Here is a 19,271-nt window from a genome sequence, read left to right as displayed (position 1 = left end):
GCCCCAAATGCTGAAGACTGCGCCCCAGCCGGAGCCCCATGCCAGACATGCCAGCTGTTAGATATGAGTTCTAAATTTATCTTAAAAGAATCAATATGTCAGTATCTTCAATTCTTTGCCTTCTACTTTTAAACTTAACTTCCTCATAAAGCAACATTTTTCGATTACCTGCTCCTCCCTCACTCATTCTTCACCGTGGTTCATTCCGATTTCCTGCTCTGCGGTAACCATTTTTCCCGCCAAACCACTCACCCCCTCACTGTCTTTAAATTAGCCAATCGGAATTAGTTTAGCCTATAGGTCTAACCCTAGCCAACAGGGGAAGGACACAGCATCAGGAATCACGTGGGTCAGGCATAAGAACCACCTTCCCCTCCCTTGTCCAGGTGTGCGCTCACCTTTGCTCCGTCTGTGAGGGCGCACCCTTCTATAGAAGTAAATTGCCTTGCTGAGAAGAAAAAAAAGAAAATTTTATATTCGAGTGCTATTTCTTTTGCGGCACTGGGGGGAAACTTTATTTATAACAATTTGGGGGCTTGCTCGTGATTACATTCCCCTTCAGGGGCAGTCTCTGGTTCTCTCTCCTGAGGAGGTATGCCCCACCCTCTTGTGATGGCCTCAGGGGTGAGAAATCAGGACTCACCCAGTGCAAGAAATAACCTGAGCTCTCAGCAATGTGAAAAGAAACCAGCAGGCAACCTAGGGTAAAGCATCCTCACACACTGCAGAGACAACTCTGTGCACAGACAAAGGAAGAAGCCGAGGGAGCCGGTAAGGTACTTCCTTGGTGGTCAAATTCTGGAGGGCTAAATGTGTGTGTGCGTGAATGATCACAAACAACCCTACCTGTGGTGTTGTTCGTGTGGATGATGACAAGTCCTACTGCTGGACGGAGTGAGTGGGTCCTCTCCACGTTTCCGTAGCTACCTCATATGGCTTAGGGAGGATCCTGCGGTGGGATTTCTACTGGAATGCCAATGCTGAGGGGGGCCTAATTCTCCCTTGGGGGAGCAGCCAGAGAGGACAACACGAGTGGGAAGTGTGCAAAGGACCTTCAGAGGGGGAAAGGGAGGAAACAGGTCAACCTTCCAGGGAAGCAAGGCAAGACACCTCCTAGTTTGAGGGATTGAGCCTTCCAGGGCAGCAAGGCAAAACACCCCCTGGTTTGAGGGGTTGAGCCTTCCAGGTCAGGCAAGGCAAGATACCCCCTGGTTTGAGGTGTTGAGCCTTCCACAAATTTCAGGGGATCAAAAACCTCACACAAACCTCCGGTAGTAAGAAAAATATTCAGAATTCCCCTTTCCTTTCTTCTCGGGGAAGAAAAAGTAGCTGCACTCCTGACGGTCCCTTCCCTAGGGGAAGGGGAAGGAGAGGGGAGAACAGCAGCATAAGCAGCTGGCAGAGGCAGGGAAAGACCAGCAGAGAGGAAAGAGAAACTGGGAGAGGAAGTTGGAGAGAAAGAGAGAGGCAAAGAGAGAGAAAGAGAGGCAGAGAGAGAAAGAGACAGAAAGACAGAAGCCAGGCGTGGTGGCTCATGCCTGTAATCCCAGCACTTTGGGAGGCCAAGGCCGGTGGATCACGAGGTCAGGAGATCAAGACCATCCTGGCTAACACCGTGAAACCCCATCTCTACTAAAAATACAAAAAAATTAGCCAGGCGTGGTGGCGGGCGCCTGTAGTCCCAGCTACTCAGGAGGCTGAGGCAGGAGAATGGCGTGAACCTGGGAGGCGGAGCTTGCAGTGAGCCGAGATCGCGCCACTGCACTCCAGCCTGGGTGATAGAGCTAGACTCTGTCTCAAAAGAAAAAGAGAGAGAGAGAGGGAGTCAGAGACAGGGAAAGAGAGAGAGAGTCAAAGAGAGAGAGAGAGAAAGAGAGATAGAAGTAGTAAAGAGAAAACAGTGTACCCTATTCCTTTAAAAGCCAGGATAAAATTCAAAACCTGTAATTGATAATTGAAGGTCTTCTCCATGACCCTATAACACTCCAATACCACCTTGTTGTCAGTGTAAACAAGGATGTAGCCCAAAAGCACTGAGGCCACTGACAACCCGTAACCTCCCTAATCAAAACTCCTTAACCCAGTAACCGGCAGATGGCCCAAATGCATTCAATCTGTAGCAGCAACTGCTTTGCTAACAGAAGAAAGTAGAAAAACAACTTTTAGAGGAAACCTCATTGTGAGCACACCTCATCAGGTCAGAACTATCCTAAGTCAAAAAAAAAAAAAGGTAGCTTACTGACTCAAGAACCTTAAAGTATGAGGCTGTTCTGTTAGAAAAAAATGATTTAATATTAACCACTGAAAATTCCCTTAACCCAGCAGGTTTCCTAACATGGGATCTAAATCTTAATTAATTACCATACAAAGGTCCGACCAGACCTAGGAAGAACTCCCTTCAGGACAGGATGATAGATGGTTCCTCCTGGGTAATTGAGGGAAAAAGACACAATGGGTATTCAGTAAGTGATAAGGAAACTCTTGTAGAAGCAGAGTTAGGAAAATTGCCTAATAATTGGCCTGTTCAAATGTGAGAGCTGTTTGCACTCAGCCAAGCCTTAAAGCACTTACAGAATCAGGAAGGACCCATCTATACCAATTCTAAGTTAATATGGACTGAATGAGGTCTTATTAATAGCAAAGAATAGTTGAAATTCCAAACTTAAAATGTTTTCAACAAAAGTTAAAAAAAAAAAGTGAAAAAATGGCTACCCTCTTTGGGTCCCCTCCCTTTGTATGGGAGCTCTGTTTTCACTCTATTAAATCTTGCAACTGCACTCTCTTCTGGTCCGTGTTTGCTATGGCTGGAGCTGAGCTTTCGCTCGACATCCACTGCTGTTTGCTGCCATCGCAGACCCGCCGCCGACTTCCATCCCTCTGGATCCGGCAGGGTGTCTACTGTGCTCCTGATCCAGCGAGGCGCCCATTGCCGCTCCCAATCAGGCTAAAGGTTTGCCATTGTTCCTGCACGGCTAAGTGCCCAGGTTCATCCTAATCAAGCTGAACACTAGTCACTGGGTTCCACAGTTCTCTTCCATGACCCACGGCTTCTAATAGAGCTATAAAACTCACCGCATGGCCCAAGATTCCATTCCTTGGAATTCGTGAGGCCAAGAACCCCAGGTCAGAGAACACCAGGCTTGCCACCATCTTGGAAGCGGCCCGCCACCATCTTGGGAGCTCTGGGAGCAAGGACCCCCCAGTAACATTTGGCGACCACGAAGGGACCTCCAAAGCAATGGGAAACGTTCCCCACAAGGCAAAAACGCCCCTAAGATGTATTCTGGAGATTTGGGACCAATTTGACCCTCAGACGCTAAGAAAGAAATGACTTATATTCTTCTGCAGTACCACCTGGCCATGATATCCTCTTCAAGGGGGAGAAACCTGGCCTCCTGAGGGAAATATAAATTATAACACCATCTTACAGTGAGACCTCTTTTGTAGAGAAGAAGGCAAATGGAATGAAGTGCCATATGTACAAACTTTCTTTTCATTAAGAGACAACTCGCAATTATGTAAAAAGTGTGATTTATGTCCTACAGGAAGCCCTAGAGTCTACCTCCCTACCCTGGTGTCCCCCCGACTCCTTCCCCAACTAATGAGGACCCCCCTTCAACCCAAACGTCCAAAAGGAGATAGACAAAGGGGTAAACAATGAACCAAAGAGTGCTAATATTCCCCAATTATGCCCCTCTCCAAGCAATGGGAGGAGGAGAATTCGGCCCAGCCAGAGTGCATGTACCTTTTTCTCTCTCAGACTTAAAGCAAATTAAAATAGGCCTAGGTAAATTCTCAGATAACCCTGATGGCTATATTGATGTTTTCCAAGGGTTAGGACAATCCTTTGATCTGACATGGAAAGATATAATGTTATTGCTAAATCAGACACTAAACCCAAATGAGAGAAGTGCTGCCATAACTGCAGCCCGAGAGTTTGGTGATCTCTGGTATCTCAGTCAGGTCAATGACAAGATGACAACAGAGGAAAGAACGATTCCCCACAGGCCAGCAGGCAGTTCCCAGTGTAGACCCTCACTGGGACACAGAATCAGAACATGGAGATTGGTGCAGCAGACATTTGCTAACTTGCGTGCTAGAAGGACTAAGGAAAACTAGGAAGAAACCTATGAATTATTCAATGATGTCCACTATAATACAGGGAAAGGAAGAAAATCCTACTGCCTTTCTGGAGAGACTAAGGGAGGCATTGAGAAAGCATACCTCTCTGTCACCTAACTCTATTGAAGGCCAACTAATCTTGAAGAATAAGTTTATCACTCAGTCAGCTGCAGACATTAGAAAAAAACTTCAAAAGTCCGCCTTAGGCCTGGAGCAAAACTTAGAAACCCTATTGAACTTGGAAACCTTGGTTTTTTATAATAAAGATCAGGAGGAGCAGGTGGAATGGGACAAACAGGATAAAAAAGAGGCCACCACTTTAGTCATGGCCCTCAGGCAAGTGGACTTTGGAGGCTCTGGAAAAGGGAAAAACTGGGCAAATCGAATGCCTAATAGGGCTTGCTTCCAGTGCAGTCTACAAGGACACTTTTAAAAAGATTGTCAAAGTAGGCCGGGTGAGGTGGCTCACACCTGTAATCCCAGCACTTTGGGAGGCCAAGGCAGATGGATCACAAGGTCAGGAGATCGAGACCATCCTAGCTAACACAGTGAAACCCCATCTCTACTAAAAATATAAAAATTAGCTGGGCATGGTGGCAGGCACCTGTAGTCCCAGCTACTTGGGAGGCTGAGGCAGGAGAATGGCGTGAACCTGGGAGGCAGGGCTTGCAGTGAGCTGAGATTGTGCCACTGCACTCCATCCAGCCTGGGCGACAGAGCAAGACTCCATCTCAAAAAAAAAAAAAAAAAAGATTGTCCAAGTAGAAATAAGCCACCCCTTCGTCCATGCCCCTTATGTCAAGGGAATCACTGGAAGGCCCACTGCCCCAGGGGACGAAGGCCCTCTGAGTCAGAAGCCACTAACCAGATGATCCAGCAGCAGGACTGAGGGTGCCCGGGGCAAGTACCAACCCATGCCATCACCCTCACAGAGCCCCAGGTATGCTTGACCATTAAGGGCCAGGAGGTTAACTGTCTCCTGGACACTGGCGTGGCCTTCTCAGTCTTACTCTCCTGTCCCGGACAACTGTCCTCCAGATCTATCACTATCCAAGGGGTCCTAGGACAGCCAGTCACTAGATACTTCTCCCAGCCACTAAGTTGTGACTGGGGAACTTTACTCTTTTCACATGCTTTTCTAATTATGCCTGAAAGCCCCATATCCTTGTTAGGAAGAGATATTCTAGCAAAAGCAGGGGCCATTATACACCTGAACATAGGAAAAGGAACACCCGTTTGTTGTCCCCTGCTTAAGGAAGAAATTAATCCTGAAGTCTGGGCAACAGAAGGACGATATGGATGAGCAAAGAATGCCCGTCCCATTCAAGTTAAATTAAAGGATTCCGCCTCCTTTCCCTACCAAAGGCAGTATCCCCTTAGACCTGAGGCCCAACAAGGACTCCAAAAGATTGTTAAGGACCTAAAAGCCCAAGGCCTAGTAAAACCATGCAATAGCCCCTGTAGTACTCCAATTTTAGGAGTACAGAAACCCAACGGGCAGTGGAGGCTAGTGCAAGATCTCAGGATTATAAATGAGGTATTGTCCCTCTATACTCAGCTGTACCTAACCCTTATACTCTGCTTTCCCAAATACCAGAGGAAGCAGAGTGGTTTACAGTCCTGGACCTTAAGGATGCCTTTTTCTGCATCTCTGTACAACCTAACTCTCAATTCTTGTTTGCCTTTGAAGATCCTTCGAACCCAACGTCTCAACTCACCTGGACTGTTTTACCCCAAGGGTTCCGGGATAGCTCCCATCTATTTGGCCAGGCGTTAACCCAAGACTTGAGCCAGTTCTCATACCTTGACACTCTTGTCCTTCAGTATGTGGATGATTTGCTTTTAGCCACCCATTCAGAAACCTTGTGCCATCAAGCTACCCAAGCGCTCTTGAATTTCCTCGCCACCTGTGGCTACAAGGTTTCCAAACAAAAGGCTCAGCTCTGCTCACAACAGGTTAAATGCTTAGGGCTAAAATTATCCAAAGGCACCAGGGCCCTCAGTAAGGAATGTATCCAGCCCATACTGGCTTATCCTCATCCCAAAACCCTAAAGCAACTAAGAGGGTTCCTTGGCATAACAGGCTTCTGCCAAATATGGATTCCCAGGTATGGCGAAATAGCCAGGCCATTATATACGCTAATTAAGGAAACTCAGAAAGCCAATACCCATTTAGTAAGATGGACACCTAAAGCAGAAGTGGCTTTCCAGGCCCTAACGAAGGCCCTAACCCAAGCCCCAGTATTAAGCTTGCCAACGGGGCAAGACTTTTCTTTATATGTCACAGAAAAAAACAGGAATAACTCTAGGAGTCCTTACACAGGTCCAAGGAACGAGCTTGCAACCCGTGGCAGACCTGAGTAAGGAAATTGATGTAGTGGCAAAGGGTTGGCCTCATTGTTTATGGGTAATGGTGGCAGTAGCAATCTTAGTATCTGAAGCAGTTAAAATAATACAGGAAAGAGATCTTACTGTGTGGACATCTCATGATGTGAACAGCATACTCACTGCTAAAGGAGACCTGTGGCTGTCAGACAGCCATTTACTTAAATACCAGGGTCTATTACTTGAAGGGCCAGTGCTGCAACTGTGCACTTGGGCAACTCTTAACCCAGCCACATTTCTTCCAGACATTGAAAAAAAGATAGAACGTAACTGTCAACAGGTGATTGCTCAAACCTATGCCGCTCGAGGAAACCTTCTAGAGGTTCCTTTGACTGATCCTGACCTCAACTTGTATATTGATGGAAGTTCCTTTGTAGAAAAAAGACTTCGAAAAGCAGGGTATGCAGTGGTCAGTGATAATGGAATACTTGAAAATAATCCCCTCACTCCAGGAACTAGCGCTCAGCTGGCAAAACTAATAGCCCTTACTCGGGCACTAAAATTAGAAAAAGAAAAAAGGGTAAACATATATACAGACTCTAAGTATGCTTACCTAGTCCTCCATGCCCATGCAGCAATATGGAGAGAAAGGGAATACCTAACTTCTGAGGGAACATCTATCAAACATCAGGAAGCCATCAGGAGATTATTATCGGCTGTACAGAAACCTAAAGAGGTGGCAGTCTTACACTGCTGGGGTCATCAGAAAGGAAAGGAAAGGGAAATAGAAGGGAACCGCCAAGCGAATATTGAAGCCAAAAGAGCCACAAGGCAGGACCCTCCATTAAAAATGCTTATAGAAGGACCCCTAGTATGGGGTAATCCCCTCTGGGAAACCAAGCCCCAGTACTCAACAGGAGAAATAGAATAGGGAACCTTACAAGGACATAGTTTCCCCCCCTCAGGATGGCTAGCCAACAAAGGAAAAATACTTTTGCCTGCAGCTAACCAATGAAAACTACTTAAAACCCTTCGCCAAACCTTTCACTTAGGCATTGATAGCACCCATCAGGTGGCCAAATTATTATTTACTGGACCAGGCCTTTTTAAAACTATCAAGCAGATATTCAGGGCCTGTAAAGTGTGCCAAAGAAATAATCCCCTATACTGCAGGCCATATATTTCAATCCCCGTATCTTTAACCTCCTCGTTAAGTTTGTCTCTTCCAGAATCAAAGCTGTAAAACTACAAATTGTTCTTCAAATGGAGCCCCAGATGCAGCCCATGACTAAGATCTACTGTGGACCCCTGGACCAGCCTGCTAGCCCACGCTCCAATGTTGATGACATCAAAGGCACCCCTCCCAAGTAAATCTCATCTGCACGACCCCTACTCACCCCAATTCAGCAGGAAGCAGTTAGAGCAGTCGTCGGCCAACCTCCCCAACAGCACTTGGGTTTTCCTGTTGAGGGGGTTACTGAGAGACAGAACTAGCTGGATTTCCTAGGCCAACTAAGAATCCCTAAGCCTAGCTGGGAAGGTGATCACATCCACTTTTAAACACGGGGTTTGCAACTTAGCTCACACCCGACCAATCAGGTAGTAAAGAGAGCTCACTAAAATGCTAATTAGGCAAAAACAGGAGGTAAAGAAATAGCAAAAAATCTATCGCCTGAGAGCACGCGGGAGGGACAATGATTGGGATATAAACCCAGGCATTCGAGTCAGCAATGTCTACCCTCTTTGGGTCCCCTCCCTTTGTATGGGAGCTCTGTTTTCACTCTATTAAATCTTGCAACTGAAAAAAAAAATGTGGGGGGGGCGGGTAGAATTTATGTAAAAAGAATGTTATATGGTAAATTCATGTCCTAAAATAAATTAACTGGCTGTTTAAATAAAGGGATGTTTGCAACAAGTCAGAAAGTTGAGGCATGTCGAAGAATTGTCTGTAAAAGTCATGGAAAAAAAGTTATAAAAGGGAATTTATGCAAGAAATGTTGTATAATTTAAAAGTAATGAGGCCTCCTGAATGTAAAACTATTGAAGAAACAGTTTATGTGCAAGGTGTGTAAGGAAAGTAAATTATACCTTGGTAAAAGGTTATAAGGAAGCATAAGAATGTGGATTTTTATCTACATTAAAAGGTTAAAAAATTGTTTTAAAGGTTTAAGCAAGTTTTGAAAACAATTATAAAGGAAATTCTGTGTGTAAACATTGGCTAAAGTTAAATGGGTATCATCCAGTTTTTCTGTGAACTTGACATTGAAATAAAACACAACAGGTTTTTCTTAAAGCACTAACCTGCTCTTTAACAAAAATTATAAAAGATTGAAAACAATCTATAAAAATCTTACCTTATGGTCAGACATTAAAATTAGATAAATATGTCTACAAGATTTTATTAAAATTCAATTTAACATTAATAACACACTAATATAAAGGTGAAATTTAGTTTATCTGGTATAAAAATGATACAGGAAGCATTGTTAAATATAAAATGGTATTTGGCTTTCTTTGGTCTAAAAACTAATAAAAATAGGTGCTAAAGAAAATTTCTCAGCAAGAAGGCACCAAGGACTATGAAGTCCACTGCTGATGTCCCCACATTTTAACCAAAAGATCAATTTCTTAGGAATTATACACTTGGTTTATCCTCCACCTTCTCTTCCCTTAAAACAAGAGGTCTTTTAGCACAGGGGCCACCTTTGGAGTTGCCAGGACATCAGCATCAGCCTGGGGATCATGTTCTCGTCAAAGGGTGGAAAGAAGGGAAACTCAAGCCAGCCTGGGAAGGACTCTACTTTGTGCTGCTAACCACCAAGACTGCTTTTGATACAGCGGAAAGGGATGGACACATCACACCTGAGTCAAGCAAGTGCCATTATCATCAGAATCATGGGCCATTGTTCCTGGATCAAGCCCTACCAAATTAAAGCTAAGAAAAGTTTAGTCTGTCTATCTGTAACAAAGACATTGCAAGGTCTGACTGCTCTGTCCAATAGTTAGCCAACAACTCAGGGGTAAATGATCCCTTTACAGCATGGCTAAAAAGTGGTTTGGTAAATGGAAAGGAATAATAGCCTCAATTCTAACTTCCCTCACAGCCGTAATGGGTGTACTTATTCTTATCAGGTGCTGTGTCATACATCCATCCATGGGTTGGTGCAGAGGCTCATAAAAACAGCACTTACTAAAACCTCCCTTAACTATCCTCCACCTTATCCAGAGAAGCTTCTTCTTTTGGAAAATCAAGCAGAACAACTAAGCCAAGACATGTTAAAGAAGTTTGAAGAGAAAGAGCTGCAAGGAAATTCAAGAGGAGGGATTACTAGATGTGAGTTCTAAATTTCTCTTCAAAGAATCACTATGTCAGTATGTTCAATTCTTTGCCTTCTACTTTTAAACTTAACTTCCTTGTAAAGCAACCTTTTTTGATTACCTACTCCACCCTGACTCATTCCAATTACCTGCTCTGCCCTGACTCATTCTCCACCCTGACCCATTCCGATCTCCTGCTCTGCCATAACCATTTTTCCCGCCAAACCACTCACCCCATCACTCTCGTTAAATTAGCCAATCGGAATTAGTTTAGCCTGTGCAGTCTAACCCTAGCCAATAGGTGAACGACACAGCAGCAGAGGCCACATGCATCAGGAATAAGAACCCCTTCCCCTCCCTTGTCCAGCCGTGCACTCACCATTGCTCCATCTGTGAGGGCACACCCTTCTATAGAGGTAAATTGCCTTGCTGAGAAGAAAAAAAAAGAAAATTTTATATTTGAGTGCTATTTCTTTTGTGGCACCAAAACTTTATTTATAACACCAGCCTGGCCGGGCACGGTGGCTCACGCCTGTAATCCCAGCACTTTGGGAGGCAGAGGCGGGCGGATCATGAGGTCAGGAGATCGAGACCATCCTGGCTAACACAGTGAAACCCCGCCTCTACTAAAAATACAAAAAATTAGCCAGGCGTGGTGGCAGGCGCCTGTAGTCCCAGCTACTCGGGAGGCTGAGGCAGGAGAATGGCGTGAACCCGGGAGGCGGAGCTTGCAGTGAGCCGAGATTGCACCACTGCACTCCAGCCTGGGCGACAGAGCGAGACTCCATCTCGGAAAAAAAAAAAAAAAAAAAAAAACACCAGCCAACAAGATCAGGAGCAGTGACAGATTGGGTTCACAGACCTCTTTAACCTCCACAAACCCTGTAGCAGTATCTTTCCTGGAGAACCAGGAGGCTGGTCATGCACCACAGGGTGCCCACCTCTCCCCAGCATGGGGCTTCCGGTGCGCCAGCCCAGGACAAACACTGGAAGAGTCTCTGGGGCGTCCACCCCCTGCCCCTCCTCTTTCCCAAACCCGGGACACCGGGTCTCTCACCCTGGGCTCTTCTTCATGGCCCAATCCACCCATTATTTGTCCTTTGGCTCAGCCACTTCCTGCAGACTGGCCTCCCCAGGGTCACCCTGTCCCAGTCCTGGGTACTTCTGGATTTTACATCCAAGAAGCAGAAGGAATGCCAGACCAGGGGGAGTCTGGGGACCTGGTCCGCTTCAGAGGGGGATGAATTACACGGATACAGACACACACACACAGGTTCCCTACTGCTGTCCTGGCCTCTCTCACAGAACTTTACGTGCTTTATCTCAGTTGTTCTCCCAACAACTTTATGAGAAAAGCATTTTTGGCCCAGTGCAGTGGCTCACACCTGTAATTCCATTACTTTTGGAGGCCGAGGTAGGTGGATCACCTGAGGTTAGGAGTTCGAGACCAGCCTGACCAACATGGTGAAACCCTGTCTCTACAAAAAATGCAAAAATTAGCTGGGCATTTTGGCTTGTGCCTGTAATCCCAGCTACTTGGGAGGCTAAGGCAGGAGAATCACTTAAACCTGGGAGGTGGAGGTTGCAGTGAGCTGAGATCATGCCACTGCACTCCAGCCTGGGCAACAGAGTGAGACTGTCTCAAAAAAAAAAAAAAAGAAGCATTTTTATGCTCATATTACTGATGAAGTAACTGAAGACAAATGGCATTAAATAACTTGTGTCCCATAGAACTGATGTTTATAAATTAAGTATTTAAAAAATAAAAGTAACTTTTGTGGGTCACACAGGTGGCTGAGTGGATGGGGATTCCACTGGGAAGCCGGAAGCCAGAGCTCTTCCCTATCCGTCAGCACCACCATTACTGCCCCTGGGAATGGGTCGTAAAAGTTTAGAATGTGTGTATCTTTGGGTTGACGTGTAGCTTTTTTCATTGCATAGTGGCCCTATTTGTCCCAACGACTTTTTTACTTAAAGTATGATGGGGCACAGGTAAGTGCTTTGTGCGGGGAAACACTGTCTCCTGAAACATGGGGAGGGGCTCCCGGGTGGAGGTGCAGTCCCGGATCCTGGTTGTTTTTACGTCTCTGAATCTGTGCCTTTACTTTTCTAAGGGGGCTGGTTATGATGCCTACTTTGCAAGATGGTTAGCAACACTGCCTGGCACTTAGTAGGCCCTCCATAAATGATTATGAATGGAGTGAAAGGCCCACCTATGGAAAGACTTGGTTGGTAATGGAAGAATCCCAGCCTGAGGGCCTTGAGTCAGGCTCTTGAGTATGTTAAGCAAGGTCCCAAATCCTCGCGTTTCTGTCTTCAGTGAGGATTGAGTGCCTCTGTTCCTACTCAGCACTGATAACCCTTTACAAGTTTCAAGTCCTAGACCTCAGTTTCCCTAGAAAAAGGGAGCTGACAGGTGCTGATGACAGAAACAGCAATCTGAAGTGATTCTTATGAGGTCACCTCACCCCATTTCCTGAGTAAAAGAATAGGATTCTAGCCCTCAACTCACCATTCATTTGTTGGATGACCTTGGGTAACTCAATTCTTCCTTTTGCAAAATGAGAAGCATTTTTCCAGACCCTCTCTCCTTCTCAAAGGGAAAATAATATATAGTCCTAGGGAAACACTGGTCATTCCTGAGGCTTAATCACCAAGTTTGTAACCTGTTGTGAGTAGGGCCAAGATTTGCTACTTTAGGGACTCCAGTTGCAAAGCATTCACTTGTGTTTGCTGAAATGATGGCTTCTCTAAACAGAAAGCTCCCTGGGCGCATATTAAATATAACTTAATTTACAAAAAGGGTCTAGGGGTTAGGAGTGGGTTTGGAGGCCAGTGCAGCAAGTCCTGGACTGACTCTAATGTTCAAGTCACAGTGAGTGGCCACTTTGTTCCTGTGAGAGAGGATCCAGAAACCCTTCTGACATCCAGTGATTCAATTCAACAGACATCCACTGACACCTGCTACTATATGCTGTGCTCTAGGGAAACTTAAACGAATAGTAGACCAAAAATCTGGCCTGAATGGGAAGAAAAAAGATTGCATAGACCAAGACAGGCTTTGGTGGAAATGCAGAGATCGTGCTGCATAACCCAGAGGGCCTTGGATTCTGGGCCCTTGGACTGTGTTGGGGAGAGTCTTTGGGGGAAGCAAGATGGCACATGATTCAGAGCAAGTGTTTTAGAGCTTGGCTGTAGAGTAGAACTAGCTAGTAACCCATCCTTGTTGTGTGACTCTCTGTGTCCCCATTTCCTTACCTGTCAAATAATGGTAATAATAGTATCCCCCCACAGCAAATACTCTGGTACTATTATATGAATCAAATGAGTTAATGCATGTAACACAACCAGAACAGGGCCTAGCATATGTATAGTAAAAAATCCATGCATGTTAATCATTATTATTATTGCTGTTGTTATTACTTATTATTAGAAAAATAGAGGCCCACAGAGAGGGGTTTTATGGGCTGAGAATCCCAAGCTCAGGAACCAGACTGCCTGAGTTCAAATCCTAACTCTGCCACTTACTGTGTAACCTGGAGTAAGCCTCTTTAACCTCTTGTGCCTCAGTTTCCTTATCTGTAAAATGGGGATAACACTGGTGACTATCTCACACAATTGATGTGAACATTAAGCAAGTTAATCCAAGCAAAGAGCTTGGAACAGCACCTCATCCACTGTAAGTGTTCAATAAATATTAGCTCACTTTATTTTAAGCAGAGATGTATGCAATCCAACCAGTATTTTGAGAAGGCAGTATGGAGGAGGGTTGGGAGAGGCAAGCTGGAAGCTAAGGTCATGGACTAGAAGAGCAGGTGGATGCAAAGATCCAATGGGGGTGGGTTTCCAGGGCTCCACCTGTGTTATCCAGAAGGTAACACCACACCATTCTGTGAGCCATAATCTGCTGTCAGGTCATTCATGCAAGAGTTACTCCTGCCCACAGCCCCTCTAGCAGACCCTGGTAAGTTTCCCTGTCAGCATCCGCAGTCAGCTGGTGATGGTAAGTTATTCTTATGTGTCTTCAGCTGTTGAGTGGGAAGACAGGTAATACCTTCCCTGGCACCCTCTGAGGTGGGGGCAGGGCTGTCCAAGGGAGAGAAGAAGGGAAGGGAGCTTCTCAGATTCCAGAGGGTGTGAAGTCTGTCTTTGTTCCAGGGATGGGAGCAGTAAATGCTCTGCTTCTTCATTTCCTTTCTCTTCTGTGAGCCTTTCCCAGGGGCCTACTAAAGGGGAGGATGCAGTCCAGCTCTAAGGAACTGCTATGATTTGAGTGTATGTGTCCCTCAAAATTCATGCTGAAACCTGATCACCAAGGTAATGGTATTAGAAGGTGGAGCTTTTGGGGGAGGTGATTAAGTCAAAAGGTCCCTGGCCTCATAAATAGGATTAAAGACCTTATAAAAGAGGTATGGGGTAGCTGTTCACAGCCCCTTTTCCCTTCTGTTCTTCTGCTGTGGGAGGACTCAGCCATAAGACACCATCTATAAAGCAATGAGCAAGCCTTCCCCAGACACCAAATCTGCCAGTGCCTTGACCTTAGACCTCCCAGCCTCTAGAACTGTAAGAAATAAATGTTCCACTCTTTTATAAATTACCCATTCTCAAGTTGTTTTTGTTTGTTGTTTGGTTGGTTGGTTGGTTGGTTTTGAGACAGAGTCTCACTTGGTTGCCCAGGCTGGAGTGCAGTGGTGCGATCTCAGCTCACTGCAACTTCTGCCTCCCAAGTTCAAGCGATTCTCCTGTCTCAGCCACCCAAGTAGCTGGGACTATGGGCACGCACCACCACGCCCAGCTAATTTTCATATTTTTAGTAGAGACGGGGTTTCACCATGTTGGCCAGGATGGTCTAGATCTCTTGACCTTGTGATCTGCCCACCTCTGCCTCCAAAAGTGCTGGGATTACAGGTGTGAGCCGCCCCACCTGGCCCTTCTCAAGTATTTTGGTATAGCTGCATGACTGGACTAAGACAGGAACTCACAGCCCCACATAGGAGGGAGGATTCCACACTCAGAAGCACTGCCTAGGGTGCTGACAATTTACAAAGCACTGTCAGGACTTTGAATGCAGATATCTGGGCCCCCTACCAACCTCTACACCCTCCTCTGAGTTTGGGGAGAGTTTGTCTCCTCTGCTAAGTTGATTACATAAATGACCCCAATAATCCAGGACCCCTTGTATCTGTGCTCTCTGCAAAGTGATTTTGCAACTCCTCTCCCCAGGAGAAGAGTCTATTTCCCTACCCATGTAAATCTTTGTGACTTGCTTTAACCAATGGAAAGTAGTGGAAGGAATTTTGTGCTACTTCTTAGCCCAGGCTGTAAGAGAACTGTTTTGTCTCTCTCTCCTGGAACCCTGCCACTGCCATAAGAAAAAGCCCAAGCTAGCCTGCTGGAGGACTAGAAGCCATGTGGAGAAAAGCCTGCTCAGCCCATTTGCCCTTGGTCAGGCCCTTACACAGGCGAGACAGCCAAGATGAGCAGAGCCACCTGACTGCAGATACATGAGTGAGTCTTGCCAAGCCAACTAAGGTCAGCGGAACCACCCACCAAACCATAGACTCAGACAATAATAAATGGTTGTTTAAACCACCACTTTGAAGGTTGGTTCATTACAAAGCAATAGCTAACTGATACATCTCCTGATCTTCATTGCCCAGATAAGTAACCGAGGCCTTACAGACAACCAGTCACTTGCTCAGTGCTACACAGTCAGTGGAGGGCCCAACTGTGAATCACACCTGGATCTTCAAGACTCAAAATCCCTTGGCCAGGCACAGTGGCTCATGCCTGTAATCCCAACATTTTGGGAGGCCAAGGCGGGAGGATCACTTGAGGTCTGGAGTTCAAGACCAGCCTGTTCAGCATGATGAAACCTCGTCTCTACTAAAAATGCAAAAATTAAGGGGTGTGGTGACACACACCTGTAGTCCCAGCTACTCAGGAGGCTGAGGCAGGAGGATCCCTTGAACCAGGGAGGCAGAGGTTGTGGTGAGCCAAGATTGCACCACTGAACTCCAGCCTGAACAGAGAGAAACTCCATCTCAAAAAAAAAAAAAAAAATCTCTGCTATGGCCAGGCATGGTAGCTCACACCTGTAATCCTAGCACTTTGGGAGGCCGAGGATCTACTGAGCTCAGGAGTTCGAGACCAGCCTGGGCAACATAGGGAGACCCTGTCTCTATTTAAAAAAATAAAAATTTTTAAAAAGCCCTGCTACCTCTGTAACATGGACACCTACAACTAGACTGTAGAATTGTTATTAAAGGTTCCCAATCATTAACTTGGAAACCCATCAGCCATACCTCACCTTAAATCTGTTTTCCTCAACCTGTTTTCACCCATGCCTTCTTTGGATACACATGAAATACATGCTGTCTCCCACCTATAATTTGTTTGAAACTATGGGGTTAGTTTCTTTACTCGGTACCTGAATTTCCTCATCTATAAAATGGGGATGTTGTACTACCCCATTGGTTGCCGTGGGAATTAAATGACTTAATGTTCGGGAAATGCTTAGAACAGTGCCTGACATATAGCAAGGACTATATCATTAGATAAAATAAAAGTGTGACTAAAACTGATCCACAGCAATGGCAATTTTATTACGAAAACATTTTTATTTGGATCATGAGAGCTACATATTTTTCACTTTGATCTGGTGACATCAGTCTGAGTGTTGAGTCAGCTTGTCTGCCATAAGCTCTTCTATCCAAGTTGATGTGGGAGAAAACATCTCCTGGGTGGCAAACCAGTTTTTGAAAATCAGACATGCAGAAAAGCACGTCTCTCGTCTTGAGAAGCACTCTTGGGTCATTATCCCACATTTATGTCATATTTCACAGAGAATATATTCTTGGTAGGTTGTAGGCAAATCAAATCCTAAGGTAAGTCTATTATTATTTAAAGAACTCTGGTTGGGCATGGTGGCTCACGCCTGTAATCTCAACACTTCAGGAGGCCAAGGCGGGTGGATCACTTAAAGTCAGGAGTTTGAGACCAGCCTGGCCAACATGGTGAAACCCCGTCTCTACTAAAAATACAAAAATTACTCGGGTGTGGTGGCACACACCTGTAATCCCAGCTACTCTGGAGGCTGAGGCATGAGAATTGCTTGAACCTGGGAGGCAGAAGTTGCAGTGAGCTGAGATCACGCCACTACACTCCAGCCTGGGCAACAGAGCAAAACTTTGTCTTGAAAAAAAAAAGGCCGGTGCAGTGGCTCGCACCTGTAACCCGAACACTTTGGGAGGCTGAGGTGGGTGGATCACCTGAGATCAGGAGTTTGAGATCAGTATAGCCAACATGGTGAAACCCCTTCTCTACTAAAAATACAAAAATTAGCCAGGCATGGTGGTGTGCACCTGTAATCCCAGCTACTCGGGAGGCTGAGGCAGAAGAATTGCTGGAATCTGTGAGGTGGAGGTTGCAGCAAGCCAAGATCGTGCCACTGCACTCCAGCCTGGGTGACAGAGTAAGACTCCATCTCAAAAAAAAAACCTAGTAAGTGTGTTTCTATACACACACACACACACACACACACACACACACATGCTCTCTAAAGCAAATGCTTCATAATATAATACTTACCTTTACTATGTGTGATGCACGTGTTTTCTATTCTATCCTTTCATTTAAAGGTGGCCATCTAATTTATTAACTTGCTTGTTGTGGTTCCTTTAATTTTTTTTTAGAGAGACAGACTAATCTATTATCTAAGGATGTGCTATTAAATTTTATCTTACATCTTGAGTCAGTGAAAATTTTCAAGTAATTTGTCCATTTCATCTAAATTATAAATTCACTGGCAAAAACTTATTCATAATACATCTTTACTACTATGCTTTTTTTTTTTTTATGCAGGGTCCTTCTCTGTCACCCAGACTAGAGTGCAGTGGTGTGATCTTGTCTTATGCAACCTCCAACTCCCAGGTTCAAGCAATTCCCCTGCCTCAGCCTCCCGAGTAGCTGGAATTACAGGTGCCCCACCACTACACCCGTCTATTTTTTTGTATTTTTAGTAGAGACGGAGTTTCACCATGTTCACCAGGCTGATCTCAAACTCCTGACCTCAGGTGGTCCACCCACCTCGGCCTCCCAAAGTGCTAGGATTACAGGCATGAGCCACCGCACCTGGCCTCTTTTTTTTTTTTTTTTTTTTTTTTTTTAGTTTCGCTCTTGTTGCCCAGGCTGGAGTGCAATGGCGCGATCTCGGCTCACTGCAACCTCCACCTCCTGGGTTCAAGCAATTCTGCCTCAGCCTCCCGAGTAGCTGGGATTACAGGCATGTGCCACCACCCCCGGCTAATTTTGTATTTTTAGTAGAGACAGGGTTTCTCCATGTTCGTTAGGTTGGTCTTGAACTCCCGACCTCAGGTGATCCACCCGCTTTGGCCTCTCAAAGTGCTGGGATTACAGGCGTGAGCCACCGCGCCCAGCCACGCACTGGCCTATTTACTACTATTCTTTTAATATAAATCAGACCTATTGTGAATATCATTCTTCCTTTTTTTTTTTTTTTTTTTTTTGAGACAGAGTCTCATTCTGTTGCCCAAGCTGGAGTGCAGTGGCATGATTTCAGCTCACTAGAACCTCTGCCTGCCGAGCTCAAGCCATCCTCCCACCTCAGCCTTCAGAGTAGCTGGGACTACAGGTGCATACCATCACGCCTGGCTAATTTTGTTTTTATTTTTTGTAAAGACAAGGACTCACTATGTTGCCCAGGCTGGTCTTGAACTCCTAGGCTCAAAAAAGACTCTCGCCTCCACCTCCCCAAATGCTGGGATTACAGACGTGAGCCATTGCACTCGGCCCTTTTTTTTTTTTTTTGAGAACGAGTTTTGCTCTTATTGCCCAGGCTGGAGTGCAATGGCGTGATCTTGGTTCATTGCAACCTCCGCCTCCTGAGTTCAAGCAATTCTCCTGCCTCAGCTTCCCGAGTAGCTGGGATTACAAGCATGCACCACCATGCCTGGCTAGTTTTGTATTTTTAGTAGAGAATGAGTTTCTCCATGTTGGTCAGGCTGGTCTCAAACTCCCAACCTCAGGTGATCCACCCACCTCTGCTACCCAAAGTGTTGGGATTACGGGCATGAGCCACCACGCCTGGCCCCATTCTTGATATTGGTAATTTGTTTTCTCTTTTCTTGGTCAGTTTAGTCAGGGGTTTATCAATTATGTTGATTGTTCAAATAAACTATTATTACCCTTTTTAAAAATTTAATTTTTAACTGACAAATAAAAATTGTATATCTTTATGGTGTGCAAATATTGTTTTGAAATACGAATAAATTGAGGTAATAACATATGCATTACTCATATACTTATTTTTTGTGTATGGTGGGAACACTTCAAATCTATTCTTTTTTTTTTTTCCAGAGACGGGGTCTCATGCTGTCACCCAGGCTGGAGTATAGTGGCATGATCATATACTCATATACTCACTATAGCTTATACTCATATACTCATATACTCCTGGGCTCAAGCAATCCTTCCACCTCATCCTC

General features: G+C 45.3%; 1 protein-coding gene across 1 annotated transcript in view; it reads right to left on the bottom strand.

Moving 5' to 3' along the window:
* The window catches only part of NSUN4 (NOP2/Sun RNA methyltransferase 4), a 44,393-nt gene continuing 33,952 nt past the window's right edge, over positions 8,831–19,271 (bottom strand). Inside the window, exon 6 of the mRNA NM_001387270.1 lies at positions 8,831–10,194. Coding sequence (NP_001374199.1) covers positions 10,098–10,194 — 97 coding nt within the window. The 3' untranslated portion in view covers positions 8,831–10,097. The remainder of the gene's footprint in view (positions 10,195–19,271) is intronic.

The sequence above is a fragment of the Homo sapiens genome, chromosome 1, assembly GCF_000001405.40.
Source record: "Homo sapiens chromosome 1, GRCh38.p14 Primary Assembly".
In the NCBI taxonomy this organism is placed as follows: domain Eukaryota; kingdom Metazoa; phylum Chordata; class Mammalia; order Primates; family Hominidae; genus Homo; species Homo sapiens.
The sequence above is the reverse complement of the archived record's forward strand: the minus strand, read 5'-3'. Positions and strand labels throughout refer to the sequence as shown.